The sequence below is a fragment of the Homo sapiens genome, chromosome 2 (genome assembly GCF_000001405.40).
Source record: "Homo sapiens chromosome 2, GRCh38.p14 Primary Assembly".
Taxonomy (NCBI): Eukaryota; Metazoa; Chordata; class Mammalia; order Primates; family Hominidae; genus Homo; species Homo sapiens.
Genome location: NC_000002.12, coordinates 127,790,212 through 127,807,698, shown reverse-complemented (window position 1 = coordinate 127,807,698; position 17,487 = coordinate 127,790,212). Strand labels below are relative to the sequence as shown.

The window sequence follows — 17,487 nt, the reverse complement described above, 5'->3', positions numbered from 1 at the left end:
GATCTTTGGCTGTTGCTTATTAACTCTTTGCCTAGATTGTATTCTCCTTCCTTTCACACTATTCCTATTCTGTTCAGTCCTTAAAATCCAGCTAAATCCAATTAATGAGGTCTTCAGTGACTCTCATTTATTCATAACTTGTTTAGTTAGTCTAGTGTCTGTGTGACTGCCTTCTGTTACTTTGTGTCCCATTAGTACCTGCCTCTATGCCTTACCATTTTGAGCAGATCCTTGAGTGGGATGATACGTGCAAAACTGTGCTTTAGGCAGTTTGTTGTTATAGGCACCTGCTCTCTACTCTGTTTGCTCTCAACTTAGTAGGTGGAGCAGCAATTTTCCTTTTTTGGTATATGGAATATTCTGGTAACTTTTTTGCAACTTTAAGAAATTTCAAGCCAGGTGCAGTGGCTCACATCTGTAATCCCAGCACTTTGGGAGGCCGAGGCAGGTGGATCACCTGAGGTCAGGAGTTCAAGACCAGCCTGGCCAACATGGTGAAACCCCATCCCTACTAAATACAAAAAAAATTAGCTGGGCGTGGTGGCACATTCCTGTAATCCCAGCTACTTGGGAAGCTGAGGCAAGAGAATTGCTTCAACCTTGGAGGCGGAGGTTGCAGTGAGCTGAGATTGCGCATTGTACTTCAGCCTGGGCAACAAGAGTGAAATGCCGTCTTAAAAAAAAAAATTTCAAACATGCAGCAAAGGTGAAAGAATACTACAGTGAACACCCATATGCCTTCTGTTTGGATTCGACTGTTAACCAACATTTAACCATTTTGCTTTAACTCTATATCCTCCCTTTCTTGAATGATTTGAAATTAAATTGCAGATATACTGCTTTTCCCTGTAATACCTCAGGATGCATGTCTTTGAAATAATGCTTTTTCCTACGCTTTTCTACATTTTTATTTCAAGCCAGTCTCCAGCTGAAAACATATAAAATCATTATCATACCTAAGGCAATTAGCATGAAATCTTTAGCATCATCTTTTTTTTTTTTTCGAATGAGTTGGTGTAGTTCTATTTTTTTTTGGCTTTGTTCCACAGTTGTTGAAGAGTTGGTTTAATTCTAGGTTACACAGAGTTTAGGGTAGAACAAAGACCAAAGAGCAGTCTCTGGCAAGATTCTGGGCTGGTTTTACTTTAAATTCATAGCTAAGGCAGGAATGGAGTGAAAACAACTAAAGAGAGGCCGGGCGCAGTGGCTCACGCCTGTAATCCCAGCACTTGGGAGGCTGAGGTGAGCAGATCACCTGAGGTCAGGAGTTTGAGACCAGCCTGGCCAACATTGTGTAACCTCGTCTCTACTAAAAATACAAAAATTAGCCGGGTGTGGTTGCGCATGCCTGTAGTCCCAGCTACTCGGGAGACTGAGGCATGAGAATCGCTTGAACCCAGGAGGTGGAGGTTGTAGTGAGCTGAAATTGTGCCACTGCACTGCAGCCAGGGCAACAGAGCGAGACTGTCTCAAAAAAAAAAAAAAAAAGAAAAAGAAAAACAACTAAAGAGATGATGAGCCACTGTAAGCATTTTAATTTATTTTATTAATATTTTTTATTTAAAATTTTAAAATTTTGTTTATTTTGAGACAGGGTCTTACTTTGTCATCCAGGTTGGAGTGCAGTGGCACAATCACAGCTCACTGCAGCCTCAACCTCCCAGCTCAAGCAATCTGCCCACCTTGGCCTCACAAAGTGCTAGGATTACAGGTGTGAGCCACCACACCTGCGGTTTTTTTTTTTTTTTTAAACAAAAGTTTATTCTTTAATGTGCAGTAGACTCCAGCTTCAAGACGACACTTCATTCCAGCTATAGGTGGCAACAGATATTATGGCAGGGAATACAGATGTTTAAATACGAATGAAATCAAGGGTCACCATTGCTTCAGGCACAGGGCACAGCTTACTTTCTGCCAGATTTTTAAATTCCACCTGTGGCCGGAGCCCCTTCCAGGAGGCTTTCGCTTTTAGCTCCTTGTGTTTCTTTCGTTCCTTTTCTTGTTTCTGCTTGAAAGCCTTATTCATCTTCTTGGCCTGCTTTTTGGGCAGTTTCAAAGGGTTCTTCTTGCCACCTTTGAGGCCGGACCTGGCACCTGCTGCCCCTTCCTGACTCTGTCACCACAAACAGCTAGCCTCATCTTTTTAAAGAACGTTCCATATTTTGGAATTTCTTATTGTATGCTTAAAATGTCATGTATTTTGTTTCTCAATTCCTGTTGTTTCTCTATTCCTTTTATTTCCTGTAAACTAGAAGTTAGATCTAGAGAGGTTTGACTAAATTTGGGTCAAATATTTTTGGCAAAAATACTTCATAGAGGCCAGGTGCGCTGGCTCATGTCTGTAATCCCAGCACTTTGAGAGGCTGAGGCAGATGGATTGCTAGAGCCCAGGAGTTCAAGACCAGCCTGGACAATTTGGCAAAACCCTGTCTCTATTTTAAAAAAAGAAAAAAAAATGCTGGGTTTGGTGGCCTGCGCCTGTAGTCCCAGCTACTTGGGAGGTTGAGACAGGAGGATGGCTTGAGCCAGAGAGGTGGAGGCTGCAGTGAGCCGACATCCTGCTGCTGTACTCCAGCCTAGGCGACAAGAGAACCCTGTCTCAAAAAAAAAAAAAAAAAAAAAAAAAAAAAGAAAAAACTTCACAGGTGATGATACGTGATTTATGTTGTGAGGATATACTTCTAGCTATGAGCCTTCAATAAGGTGGTAGGGACTGCCAGATGTTAGCTTGCGTTATTTACAATGCCAAATTTACCTGGTTAATGTGTCCATTGGATTTCTTCATCAAAGAGGTATATTTTTCCCTTTGCAGTTATACTTGATCTGTGGGGTGATAACTTTAGCATCATGTGAGTACCTCACTTCTCAAAATATTTTTCACTTAATGATTGATGATTATTAGCTGAGTCATTTATTGGGGGTTTTCTAATTTTGTTATTTGTTTATATTCATTAACTGTTTTCTGTAATAAAGAGCTTTTGCTTTCCCCCTTTCGTGTTTAAATGTTTAAATTTTGAAATAAATATGAACTAACAGAAGAGTTGGAAGAATAGTTCAAAGAACTCCTATGTACTTTTTATTCTGATTCACCCATTTTTAACATTTTGTCACATTTGCTTTATTCCTCCCTTCCTGCCTCCCAGCCCCTCATGTATTATTTTCGGAGCCATTTAGTGTTATTCACAGATATGCACTTCTCCGCACTTCTCTGCTCAAGAACAAGTTAAGTACCCGCAATATTAACTAATTCTGGACATTGAACATTTATATAGTATTGAAAATTCATACTCAAATTTCTCTAGTTGTCTCAGTAACATCTCACAGAATTTTTCTTTCTCTAATCCAGTATCCAATCTAGATATTTCTTTTCTTTTTTTATTTATTTTTTGAGACAGAGTCTCGCTCTGTCTCCCAGGCTGGGATGATCTTGGCTCACTGCAAGCTCCGCCTCCCGGGTTCACGCCATTCTCCTGCCTCAACCTCCCGAGTAGCTGGGACTACAGGCGCCCGCCACCATGCCTGGCTAATTTTTTGTATTTTTAGTAGAGACAGGGTTTCACCGTGTTAGCCAGGATGGTCTCGATCTCCTGACCTTGTGATCCACCCTCCTCGGCCTCCCAAAGTGCTGGGATTACGGGTGTGAGCCACCGCACCCGGTCCCAATCTAGATATTTCGTATCTCTTTAGTCTTTAAGCAGGAGCAGGTATTTGGCCCTTATTGCTTTTGGTCTTTTTTTTTTTTTTTTTTTTTGAGACTGGGTCTCACTTCGTTGCCCAGGCTAGAGTGCAGTGGCAAGATCATAGCTGCCTGCAGCCTGGAACTCCTGGGCTCAAGTGATTCTCCTACCTCAGTCTCCCAAGCACCTGGCACTAACCCCAGTTAATTTGAGGGCTCCTTTGCTTTTTTGGCAAAACAATAACCCAAGTCCTTCTTGTCTTTTCCTTTCCTTTTGTATCTTCCCATTTCTCCAAGGAGTCCCAGTTCTTTTGGTAGAAAATATTATTTATAAACCAGGATTTGGATGCTTGGTGGTGTATGCATTTGCTTGTATGCCCTTTTCAGTGGACAGAGCTAGAAAACATGATATTAAAAATCATCAGCTTACATTGGTATTTTATTTTATTTATTTTTTGAGACAGTCTCCCTCTGTCACCTAGGCTGGAGTGCAGTTGTGCAATCTTGGCTCATTGCAACCTCTGCCTCCTGGGTTGAAGCGATTCTTGTGCCTCAGCCTCCCGAGCAGCTAGGATTACAGGCGTCTGGCTAATTTTTGTATTTTTAGTAGAGATGGGGTTTTACCATATTGGCCAGGCTGGTCTCGAACCCCTGGCCTTAAGTGATCCGCTCACTTTGGCCTCTCAAAGTGTTGGGATTACAGACGTGAGCCACTGTGCCTGGCCTACATTGGTATTTTAAATTCCTAATCAAAGTTAACATTAGTGGCATTTTCTACACAGAAAACAGAGTCAGATTTATAATGCCAGTATTTTACTAACAATAACCCTACCAAGTGCAGTTTTTTTTCCAGTCCTTTTTTTTCTTAGCGTATACTGCATTAAAGATGAACTTTCTTCAAAAGTTACTTGAAATAACATTTTTCAGCTTGTTTGTTGAATTTGTTTATTTTGATTATCAAATTTCACAGTTTTTGTTTGTATTCATTATTAGGGTTTGCTTTTTCTCCCTCTTAATTTAGTTTTTTTGTTTGTTTGTTTTTGAGACAAGATCTCAATCTGTTACCTAGGCTGGAGTGTAGTGGTGCAGTTTTGGCTCCCTGTAGCCTCAACCTCGCAGGTTTGGGTGATCCTCCCACCTCAGCCTCCCAAGTAGCTGGAACGACAAGTGCGCACCACCATGCCTGGCTAATTTTTTGTGTTTTTTGGTATAGTCTGGGTTTTGCCATGTTGCCCAGTCTGGGCTCGAACTCCTGGGGTCATCGGTTCCTCCCTCCTCAGCCTCCCAAAATACTAGGATTACAAGGCATGAGCCACTGCACCCAGACGTAATTTAGTTTTTTTAATACGTTATTTACATGGTTTAAAATCTACTGAAAAAAAATTTTTAAGCACCTGTGACCAAGAAGGAATAAAATTAAATACTATATTGAAAAAGTACTGGCTGGGCGTGGTGGCTCACATCTGTAATCCCAGCACTTTGGGAGGCCGAGGGGGGCAGATCACCTGGGGTCAGGAGTTTGAGACCAGCCTGGCCAACATGGTGAAACCCCATCTCTACTAAAAATACAAAAATTAGCCAGGCGTGGTGGCACATGCCTGTAATCCCAGCTACTCTGAAGGATGAGGCAGGAGAATTGCTTGCACCCAGGAGACGGAGGCTGAAGAAAAAGTAGTTAAGTCTTGCTTCTGTCTCTGAGCTCTGGAGTTCATTCCAGTTTTTACTGTGTATATTCTTATTTTCACATTCTTAGAAGAAAGTTGGCATGCTGTATATGCTTGTGACACTTGATTTTTTTTTTTATAAATTGTGATAAATGCATAGCAAAATTTTACTGTCTTAATTTTTTTTTTTTGAGTCGGAGTCTTGCTCTCTCCTCCAGGCTGGAGTGCAGTGGCGTGATCTCAGCTCACTCCTGGGTTCAAGTGATTCTCCTGCCTCAGCCTCCTGAGTAGCTGGGACTACAGGTGCATGCCACCACACCTGGCTAATTTTTGTATTTTTAGTAGAGACGGGGTTTTACCATGTTGGCCAGGGTGGTCTGGAATTCCTGACCTCAAGTGATCTGCCTGCCTCAGCCTCCCAAAGTGCTGGGATTACAAGCAGGAGCCACTGTGCCTGGCCTTAACCATTTTTTTTGAGATGGAGTCTCACTGTATCACCCAGGCAGGAGTGCAGTGGCACGATCTCGGCTCACTGCAGCATCCGTCTCCTGGGTTCAAACAATTATCCTGCCTCAGTCTCCCGAGTAGCTGGCACTACAGGTGTGCACCACCACGCCCAGCTAATTTTTTGTATTTTTAGTAGAGATGGGATTTCACCATGTTGGCTAGGCTGGTCTTGAACTCCTAACCTCAAGTGATGCACATGCCTCCGCTCCACAAAGTCCTGAGATAGGCATGAACCACTGCACCTGGCTCATAATGTAATTCTGTTTTTAACATTTTTGAAGAACCTCTATACTGTTTTTCATAGTGATTGTACTGTTTTTTTTTTTTTTGTTGTGTGTTTTTTGTTTGTTTGTTTGTTTTTTAGAGACAGAGTCTCACTGTGTTGCTCAGGCTGGTCTTCGCCTCAAAGTGATCCTCCCACCATGGCCTCCCAAAGTGCTAGGATTACAGGTGTGAGCCACCATGCCCAGCCTCATTGTACCATTTTACAGTCAGTACACAATGGTTCCAATTTCTTCATGTTCTTACCAACAGTTATTATTTTCTGTGTCTGTGTGTGTTTTTCCTCTGAGAAAAGGTCTCCTTCTGTTACCCCTGCTGGAGTACAGTGGTATAATCATAGCTCACTGTGCCTCAACGTCCCGGGCTCAAGCAAACCTCCTGCCTTAGCCTCCCGAGCGGCTGGGACAACAGGTGTATGTCACCATGCCTGGCTAATTTTGTTTTTCTTTTCTTTTTTTTTTTTTTCCTAGAGACAGGGTCTCACTATGTTGTCTGTCCTGGCTGGTCTCAAACTCCTGGGCTCCATCTTCCCACTTCGGCTTCCTGAAGTGCTGAGATTACAATAGGCATGAGCCACTATGCCCATCCTAAAGTTTTACAGCCCAATAATAGTAATATTCCATCACTACAGCTATCATTGAGTTTCAGAAGTTAGACTGTTAAAAGTTTCAGTAAAGAGCTTTAACCAGTTTATTGTGGCAATACTGTGTACACAATTATTTTTTGTAAAAGGAAGGAGATTTCTGTCTTAAATAGCTTTAATAAAGTTTCAGTTTCATATACAGGAATAGATTTAAATTAAAACTCAGGGCCAAGTACAGTTTACAGAAATAGGCTTTGTAAAGTCTATGGTTTTATTATTATTTTTTTCCCTCTGCAATTCCTTCATAACATTTGAATTTTTTTGCTTGTTGGTTTTTTTTTTTTTTTTTTGAGACGGAGTCTCATTATGTTGCCCAGGCTGGAGTGCAGTGATGCGATCTCAGCTCACTGCAAGCTCCGACTCCTGGGTTCATGCCATTCTCCTGCCTCAGCCTCTCGAGTAGTTGGGACTACAGGCGCCCTCCACCACGCCTGGCTAATTTTTTTGAATTTTTTTAACAGAGACGGGGTTTCACCATGTTAGCCAGGATGGTCTTGATCTCCTGACCTCATGATCCGCCTGCCGCGGCCTCCCAAAGTGCTGGGAGTACAGGCATGAGCCACTGCGCCCAGGCTTGCTTCTTGTTTTTAAGGAGAAAGATTATTTTTGTTAAGTGTTGATGGTGATTTGGGATCAGAAGCTGTAATTTTTATGATTCAGTTGATGGACATTAGGATTGTTTTCACTTTTTGATTATTATTAATAACGCTGCTGTAAACATTCACGTACAAATATTTGTGTGGACATAATGCTTTCAGTTCCCTTGGGAATTTACCTAGGCGTAGAATTGCTGGGTCACATGGTATTTTGACATTTAACATTTGAGGAAATTCTTGACTATTTTCCCACCTAATTTTCAGTTTATTTTATGCCTAACAACCACTATTCTTTTGTAATCCAGATGGACTTCTCATGAGGGTTACTGTTTCTCCACATTCTCACTAACACTTCTTATTTTCCCTCTTTTTGACCATAGCCATCCCAGTGGATGTGAAGTGTTATCTAATTGTGGTATTCATTTATTTATATATTTTAGAGACGGGGTCTCACTCTGTTGCCCAGGCAGGAGTGCAGGTGTGATCACAGTGCACTGCAGCCTCGAACTCTTGGGCTCAAGCAGTCCTCCTGCCTGAACTCCAGCAGGAGGTGGTTCGAGTAGCTGGAACCACTGTTCCTGGTGCTCATCGTGGTTTTGTTTTGCATTTTTCTATTGATGCGATTCTCCTGCTTCAGCCTCCTGAGTAGCTGGGATTACAGGTGCCTGCCACCATGTCCGGCTAATTTTTGTATTTTTAGTAGATATGGGGTTTCGCCATGTTGCGCAGGCTGGTCTTAAACTCCTGACCCCAAGTGATCCACCTGCCTTGGCCTCCCAAAGTGCTGGGATTACAGGCGTGAGCCACCGTGTCCAGCCTGTATATCTTCTTTGGAGAAATAACTATTCACATTCTTTGCCCATTTAAGAAATTGGGTTATTTCTTGTTATTATTGAGTTTTAAGAGTTCTTCGTGTATTCTGGATGCAAGTCTCATCGGATACATGATTTGCAGAAATTTTTACCCTTTTTGTGGATTTGTTTTCCTTTTTTTAACTTTTTTTCCCAAGTCATGTGTAGGAAGACAGTGTTTTGATTTTTTTATGGTGTCATTGAAGCAAAGAAGTTTCCAATTTTGATTATGTCCAATTTACCTACTTTTTCTTTTGTTTATTGTGCATTGGTATTACATCTAAGGCAGCTTTGCCTAACCCAAGGTCCTGAATGTATTCTCTGTATTTAATGCAGTTGGCAATTGGTTAAGCAACTGATTTTTCTCATTTGAGAATGTAGATTCTCCTCCATTGGTATAAATGTGAATATGAGTTTGACTTTTTTATTAGAAAGCAGCTATAGTGAGTTTGACCTTGTGGTTAGAAAGCTATAAGCTTTTGGCTGGTCCGATGGTAGTGGGTTATCAGAACTCATTAACATTAGTGTCACTGAAGTTGATATACAACCCCCAACTGCTAAATTTGACTGGCTTAAAAAAAAAAAAAGAAAGCTATAAGCTTTAGTTTTGGTCTAATAAAAGCAGTTTTCAATAACTTAAATTTTACTTAGTAGAGGGAGGTTCAAGTAAAAATTAAGGACAGGTTTCATTGGTGAATTTTTTTTCACGACTTTTTTAGATATTTGTTTAACTTTCAGTTCATCGTATCTCTAATAACACTGTTTTTTTTGAAATCTAAACTGACTTGTTTGGAGGGAAATATCAAACTGTTAAGATGGTATGTGTCATAAGGTAATTAAAAGACATCATAAATTCCAGATATACTGAGGAACTAGTTAACTGGTTAGGCTTTTAGGTCTGTGTAGATAGTAGAACTAGAACCTGAGAACCATAGTTCTGAAATCAAGAGGCTCATAAAAGCTTAAGCTTATCATTTTATCTTGCTATTGACAGATTTGAAATATTCAGGGCCAACCAGCTCTTTAGGATTGTTCCTTTGGGAATGATTGTCTTTTCCTATTTTGTTAAATGCTTTTAAATTCATTTTTTTTTTTTTTTTTTTTTTTTTTTTGCGACGGTGTCTCGCCCTGTTGCCTAGGCTGGAGTGCAGTGGCACGATCTTGGCTCACTGCAACCTCTGTTTCCCAGGTTCAAGCGATCCTCCTGCCTCAGCCCCCCTGGTAGCTGGGATTACAGGCATGTGCCACCATGCCCGGCTAAATTTTGTATTTTCAGTAGAGACAGGGTTTCACCATGTTGGCCAGGCTGGTCTTGAACTCCTGATCTCAGGTGATCCACCTGCCTCGGCCTCCCAGAGTGCTGGGATTACAGACATGAGCCACCACGCCCGGCTTAAATTCATTTGTTAAGCAAGGTTTAAGAAAGGAATTTTGGAAATTTCCTACCTGCTTTCTACATAATCTTTTGAGATGGGGTCTCACTCTGTCACCAGGTTGAAGTGCAGTGGTGTCATCTTGGCTTACTGGAACCTCGACTTCCTGGGCTCAAGCAGTCCTCCTGCTTCAGCCCCCTGAGTAGCTGGGACCCACAGTTGTGTACCACCATGCCCGGCTAAGTTTTTGTGTTTTTGGTAGAGACAGGGTTTTGCCATGTTGCCCAGACTGGTCTCGAACTTCTGAGCTCGGGTGATCCACCTTCCTCAGCCTCCCGAAGTGTTGGGATTACAGGCTTGAACCACCGTGCCTGGCCTGTTGGCTTGTGATCTTGAAATTATGAAATTATTTTGCCTCTAGAGATCATCAAATCTAGACCCTTTAATTTGAAGATAAACAACACTGGAGAGATTAAATTTGTTCATAATTACAGAGTGGCAGAATTCAGGTCACCTGAATACCAGTTTAGTGTTCCCACTTTTACAAAAAAAGCCACTAAAACATTTCATAATATAGCTTGGAGGGGTTTTTTGGCTTAATATCTTTTTTTGTGTGTGACGTAGTCTTGTTCTGTCACCCAGGGTGGAGTGCAGTGGTGTGATCTTGGCTGACTGCAACCTCTGCCTCCTGGGTTCAAGTGATTCTCCTGCCTCAGCCTCCTAAGTAGCTGGGATTACAGGTGTGCGCCACCACGCCCAGCTAATTTTTGTATTTTTAGTAGAGACGGGGTTTCACCATGTTGGCCAGGCTGGTATCGAACTTCTGACCTCATGATCTGCCTACCTCAGCCTCCCAAAGTTCTGGGATTACAGACACGAGCCACTGCGCCTGGCCTGGTTTAATGTCTTTGAGAGAGAGCTAACATTTATCAGTTATATTTTGTAGCTAAAAGGTATAAAATAGGAAAATCATCCATCAGGAATCAACTGGTTACATTAATTATTTTGTGATTTGCAAGGAAAATTTTCCCTGCCATGGTGATCATTCATGGACATTCATGTGCTTTGTGTGGTGGAATGACTGGTGGTGCACTGTGAGTATTGATTTTGGGGCTACAGGTCAATTTTAGCAAGTAGGTAAATTCGCAATTGCAGAATCTGGGGCTAATGAGGATTGATTATGGTTTGACCTTGGGGAAACAGACAGTTTTTCCGGTTAATTATTTTTTGTTGTTAACTCCAAGGATATAAGAAGTATGCTTTTTAATTCAAAATTCAAACAACCAGAATGTGTACTGAAACTTTTCCCCTGAACCTAGTCATTTAGGAGACCGAAATACAAAGACATTAATGTAGATTGTTTTCCCTGAAGGCAGTATACAAAGGACATGAAGATAGTGTACATAAAATGTGGGAATAAAACTGGTTAATAAAATGGAATAAAAAAGCATGTAATGAAGAAAACTAAAATTGAAACAGGAAAGAGGAAATGAGAGAGAGAGAGAGTATGTGTATGTATGCTGGGAAAGAGCCCAAGAAATGATTTTTTTGTAGAGTCAGGGTCTCATTTTGTTGCTCAGGCTGGGCTTGAACTTGAACTCTTGAGCTCAAGCAATGGGACCTATCTTGGTCTCCCAAAGTGCTGGGATTATAGGCGTGAGCCACTGTGCTTGCTGCAGTAGAGATTTTCCTTAACCACAGTAGTGCTATCTCTCACACATGAGAAAATTAACAGCCAGGTGTGGTGGTTTATGCCCGTAATCCCAGTACTTTGGGAGGCTGAGTCGGGCAGATCCCTTGAGGCCAGGAGTTTGAGACCAGCCTGGGCAACATGTTGAAACCCTGTCTCTAAAAAAATATACAAAAATTAGCCAGATGTGGTGGCACATGCTGTATAGTCCCAGCTACTCAGGAGGCTGAGGTGGGAGGATCACTTGAGCCCAGGAGGTCAAGGTTGCAGTGAGCTATGATGGTGCCACTGCACTCCAGTCTGGGTGACAGAGCAAGACTGTCTCAAAAAAAAAAAAAAAAATTAACAGTAATCACCTAATATTAATACCTGTTCTATTTACCTAATTTACCTAGGTAAATCTATTATGTATACCAAGTTTACCTAATTGCCCCAAAATATCTTAGGCAACTTTTTTTTAAAGAACTAACATTCCATCAAGGTTGCTTTTATCTTTTAGTCTCATCTAGAATAGCTCTCCCCTCCCCATTTTCTCCTTCTTGCATTAACTTCTGGAGGTTTCAAGACAGTTTTTTTTTTTCCGGAGACAAAGCCTTGCTGTGTTGCCCAGGCTAGAGTGCAGTGGCTCCATCTCAGCTCGCTGCAGCCTGGACCTCCTGTGCACAAGTGATCCTCTCCATCTCAGCCTCCTGAGTAGCTGTGACCACAGGAGCATGCCACCACACCTGGCTAACTTTTTGGTGTTTTTTTTTTTTTTTTATAGAAAGGAGGTTTTGCCATGTTGCTTAGGCTGTTATCTTGTAGAATTTCTTGTATGTTTGTGTATCCTATGGTTTGGTAACTTTTTTCCTCTGTATTTTCTTTAAACTGGAGTACATAATTCTGCAAATCTAACTAATTTGTCCATTGTTATGGACTAAAAAAATGTAATTCTGCCTGCCTGACAGGTGTAGCTGTGTTCTAGAGATTGGGACCCATCAGGGTATTAGGACCTTCAGCATTAAAAGTTATTGTTTCAGGCAGGGCACGATGGCTCACGCCTTTAATCCCAACACTTTGGGAGGCTGAGGTGGGCAGATCACGAGGTCAGGAGTTCTGGACCATCCTGGCCAACATAGTGAAACCCTGTCTCTATTAAAAATACAAAAATTAGCCGGGCATGGTGGTACACGCCTGTAGTCTCAGCTACTCAGGAGGCTGAGGCAGGAGAATTGCTTGAACCCGAGAGGCAGAGGTTGCAGTAAGCCGAGATCGCACCATTGCACTCCAGCCTGGGCAACAGAGTGAGACTCCCTCTCAAAAAAAAAAAAAAAAGAGAAGTTATTGCTTCATAACTTACTTCCCTTGTACAGATTCCATGTTCACCATCAACCTACAGATTAGTAGCATGCAGTTTAAGAATAGAAAGTATTTTATTTTTATGTTTTGACACCAGGGTCTTATCATGTTGCTCAGGACTTGAACTACTGGGCTCAAGTGATCCTCCCGCCTCAGCCTCCCAGTAGCTAGGATTACAGGTGCATATTCACCACACCCAGCTTGAAAGTATTTCTTTCTTTCTTTCTTTTTTTTTTTTTTTTTTTGAAACGGAGTCTCGCTTTGTCGCCCAGGCTGGGGTGCAGTGGCATGATCTCGGCTCACTGCAACCTCTGCCTCCTGGGTTCAAGCAACTCTCCTGCCTTAGCCTCCTTAGTAGCTGGAACTACAGTTGCCCGCCACTACACCTGGCTAATTTTTGTATTTTTAGTAGAGACAGGGGTTTCACCATATTGGCCGGGTTGGTCTTGAACTCCTGATCTCAAGTGATCTGCCCTCCTTGGCTTCCCAAAGTGCTGGGATTATAGGCATGAGCTACTGTGCCTGACCTCTTTCGTCTTGTCTTTGTCTCTTTTCTTTTCCTATCCTTTCCTTTCCTTTGATGAAGTCTCGCTCTTGTCCCCCAGGCTGGGGTGCGATGGTGCAATCTTGACTCACTGCAACCTCTGCCCCCCCAAGTTCAAGTGATTCTCCTGCCTCAGCCCCCCGAGTAGCTGGGATTACAGGCACCTGCCACCACACCCAGCTAATTTTTGTATTTTTAGTAGAGATGGGGTTTTACCATGTTGGCCAAGCTGGTCTAGAACTCCTGACCTCAGGTGATCCACCTGCCTCTGCCTCCCAAAGTGCTGGGATTACAGGCATGAGCCACCGTGCCTGGCCGGCTTTCTTTCTTGCTTGCTTGCTTACTTTCTTTCTTGTCTCTGTCTGTCTTTCTGTCTGTCTGTCTGTCTTGACAAGATCTCCCTCTGTCACCTAGGCTGGAGTGCAGTGGCATGATCTTGGCTCACTGTAGCCTCGACCACTGCAGCCTTGACCTCCTGGGCTCAAATGATTCTCCCGCCTCAGCCACCCAAGTAGCTGGGGCCACGGGTGCGCCACCACTCCTGGCTAATTTTTTGTATTTTGGTAGAGACAGGGTTTCACCATTTTGCCCAGGCTGGTCTCGAACTTCTGAGCTCAATCTTTCCTCCTGCCTTGGCCTCCCAAAGTTCAGGGATTACAGGCGTGAGCCACTGTGCCTGCCCGAACAATATAGTTTCTTAAAACTTAATTCTGGCTTCTATTTCCCAAGTTGAGTAAGGTGGTGAAATTTCATACTGTTTTACATTGAGTCTTTTTGTTTGTTTTCATTTTTTTGAGACAGGGTCTTGCTCTGTCACCCAGGCTGGAGTATAGTGGCATGATCATAACTCACTGCAGCCTCAAACACCTGGATTCAGGTGATTCTACTTCCTCAGCCTTCCAAGTAGCTAGGACCACAAGTACCTGCCACCATGCCCGGCTAATTTATTTTATTTTTGTAGAGATGGGATCTCAGTATGTTGCTCAGGGTGGTCTTGAACTCCTGGCCTCAAGTGATCCTCCTGCCTTGGCCTCCCAAAGTGCTGGGATTACAGGCTTGACCCACCTTGCCTGGACTAAATTGAGCTTTTTGTTTTTTTTCCTTGAGACAGAGTCTTGCTCTGTTGCCTAGGCTGGAGTGCAGTGGTATGATCTCGGCTCACTGCAACCTCCTTCTCCCGGGTTGAAGCGATTCTCCTGCCTTAGCCTCCCGAGTAGGTGGGATTACAGGCACCCGCCATCATGCCCGGCTAATTTTTATATTTTTAGTGGAGACGGGGTTTCACCATGTTGGCCAGGCTGGTCTCGAACTCTTGACCTCAGATGATCCACCTGCCTCGGCCTCCCAAAGTGCTAGGATTACAGGCATGAGCCACCGTGCCAGGCCCTAAATTGAGTTTTTGATGTACCAAATCATTAGATATTACCTGTGAAATAAATTTTAATTTATCTTGGGGGATAGTGAATACACATACATGTATGAAATTCAAAAGGTACACCTGAAATTTCTCCTCACTTTTATGCTAACTCATCTAATTTTTTTTCCCAGAGGCAATCTGTGGTAATGTTTCTGACGTATCTCTCTATGAGTGTGTTTATAGTATACCACTGGCCTGCTTTGTTTGTTTCATCACAACCCAGGTACTCTAATCAAGGTAGTTTTTATTTTTTTCCTTTTTAGACCCCATGGAACTTTATATTTTCTCCTAAGATAACAGAGTCGTCAAGTGAAAAGTATAGCTTGATCATTTACCTAATTTGCTAATTTACCTAATAATCAAATTTGGAAAGTTTGTGAATGGATCAAGTTTTACTATCTCTCATGATTTATTTGTAATAATACCTTTTTTTTTTCTTTTTGAGACGGGGTCTCACTCTTTTTTGCCCAGTCTGGAGTTCAGTGGCACAATCTTGGCTCACTGCAGCCTCTGCCTCCGCCTCCCAGGTTCAAGCGATTCTCCTGCCTCAGCCTCCCGAGTAGCTGGGATTACAGGCGCACACTGCACACTACCATGCCCATCTAATTTTTTTATTTTTAGTAGAGACGGGGTTTCACCATGTTGGCCAAGTTGGTCTCGAACTTCTGACCTCAAGTGATCTGCCCGCCTCAGCCTCCCAAAGTGCTGGGATTATAGGCGTGAGCCACCTGCCCTGCCAAGAATAGCTTAAATTGCTAATAAACATCTCAGTTTGGAAATTTTTTTTCCTTTGTTAGTTGAACTTAATTCTGTAAGGCAGTGGTGAGTTCTCAAAGTGAGGTCAGAACTGTTTTCATACCACTGCTAAGATACTAAGATGGCTGAGTGTGGTGGCTCACGCTTGTAATCCCAGCACTTTGGGAGGCTGAGGCGGGTGGATCACCTGAGGTCCGGAGTTCGAGACCAGCCTGACCAACACGGTGAAACCCAGTCTCTACTAAAAATACAAAAATTAGCCGGGCGTGGTGGTGCATGCTTATAATCCCAGCTACTCAGGAGGCTGAGGCAGGAGAATCGCTTGAACTTGGGAGGCAGAGGTTGCAGTGAGCTGAGATCACACCACTGCACTCCAGCCTGGGTGACAGCATGAGACTCCGTCTCAAAAAAAAAAAAAAGATACTAAGACATTATAAGGCCTTTTTACTGTTGATGCTTGCAGTTATGTTATAAAAGCAGTAATGGATAAAACTACTAGCTCCTTAGCATCATTCAAGGCAGTGCTACCAAACTGTAGTAGGTATGTTACTTTTACCTCATGCTGGTAGTTGAAAAGAAAAAAGACAATTTCACTTAAGAATGTCACTGATGAAGTGGTAAATATAATTTTATTAAATGTCACCTCTTGAGCATATGATTTCTAATACAGGATGCTTTGGATTGAGTCGTATTCCCTTATATTTATATGCTGAAGTAGTAACCCCCAGTGTGATGACATTTGGAGATGGGGGCCTCTGTGACATCACTAGGTTTAGCTGAGGTCATGAGGTTGGGGCCCTCATGATGGGAATAGTACCTTTAATAGCAGAAACACCAGAAAGTTTGCTGTTTCTCTTTCCGTCAAGCCAGAAAGAGAGCCCTCACTTGGACCTGGTTATGCTGGCACCTTGATCTTGGACTTCCAGCTTCTAGAACTGTGAAAAACTAAATTTCTGTGGTTTAAAGCCACCCAGTCTATGGTATTTTTATGGCAGCCAAGCAGACTAATACATAGCACATGATGAAATGGGAAGTGTGGGTTGGCTGTGGTGGCTCATGTCTGTAATCACAGTACTTTGGGAGGCCGAGGCGGGAGGATTGCTTGAGCCCAGGAGTTTGAGGCTGCAGTGAGGTATGATTGTGCCACTGTCTTGCAGCCTGGGTGACAGAGTGAGACGCAGTTGCTGGGGGGGGGGGTGGGGTGGGGAAAGAGTTTGGATAAAGTACTTTTGCTATTTATAGAAGTAGGGCAATTTTCTTGAGAGAAAGCACTTACATAATTGTACTATTTACTTTTTCCATGGAGCCTAATTTTGACTTGAAAGAATGACAGACTGTTGAGAGAGATGGGGAGAGGTTAAGGAGGGGGCCCAAGTGAACAATATCAGGAATGAAAGAGGGGGAATATTACTACAGATCTTACAGACATTAAAATGATGATAAGGGAATATCGTGAACAATTCCATGCCCCTAAATTTGATGACTTAAGAGAAATTGATCAACTCCTTCAAAGACACAAACTAAAACTCACTCAAGAAAAAATATGTAACCTGAATAGTCCTATATCTATTAAAGAAATCGAATTCAAGCTGGGTGTGGGTCATGTGTTTATTGTCCCAGCTACTTGGGAGGCTGAGACAGGAGGATCGCTTGAGCCCAGGAGTTCGAGGCTGCAGTGAACTGTGGTCCTCTGGCCATGCGCTGTAGCCTGGGCAATGGAGTGAGACCTGGTTTCAAAAATAAAATAAAATTGAATTCATAGTTAAATGAATTGAATTTATAGTTAAAAATCTTCCAAAGGAAAGTTGAGGTTGAGATGGTTTCGCTGGCCACTTCTACCAAATATTTAAGAATAATATCAATTCTACATACTCTCATCCAGGAAATATTAGAAGGCATACCTCTCAAATCATTTTATGGGACTTGATATAAAACCAGATACAGATATTACAAGAAAAGAAAACCACACCAGTATCCCTCATGAATATAGATTCAGAAGTCACAACAAAATATTAGTAACTCAAATCCAGCAATATATAGTATAAAAAGGATAATACATTGTGATCAATGAGGTTTATTCTGGGAATACAAGGCTGGTTCAAAATTTGAAAATCAGTCAGGATAATTTAGTCTATTAGTAGACTAAGGAA

The 17,487-nt window shown here is 42.4% G+C and overlaps 1 protein-coding gene and 1 pseudogene across 6 annotated transcripts in view, besides 1 other annotated feature; both read left to right on the top strand.

The window, feature by feature from the left end:
• Positions 1–17,487, top strand: part of WDR33 (WD repeat domain 33) — a 110,145-nt gene that overhangs the window by 3,473 nt on the left and 89,185 nt on the right. The gene's annotated exons all lie outside the window — the stretch shown is intronic.
• RNY4P7 (RNY4 pseudogene 7) lies at positions 8,701–8,793 on the top strand (annotated as a pseudogene).
• Positions 12,577–12,777: a silencer, noted in NCBI's record as "peak3857 fragment used in MPRA reporter construct". NCBI's record gives its function as "represses an SCP1 promoter by STARR-seq MPRAs in K562 erythroleukemia cells {active_cell/tissue: K562}" and the evidence as "EXISTENCE:reporter gene assay evidence [ECO:0000049][PMID:32103011]".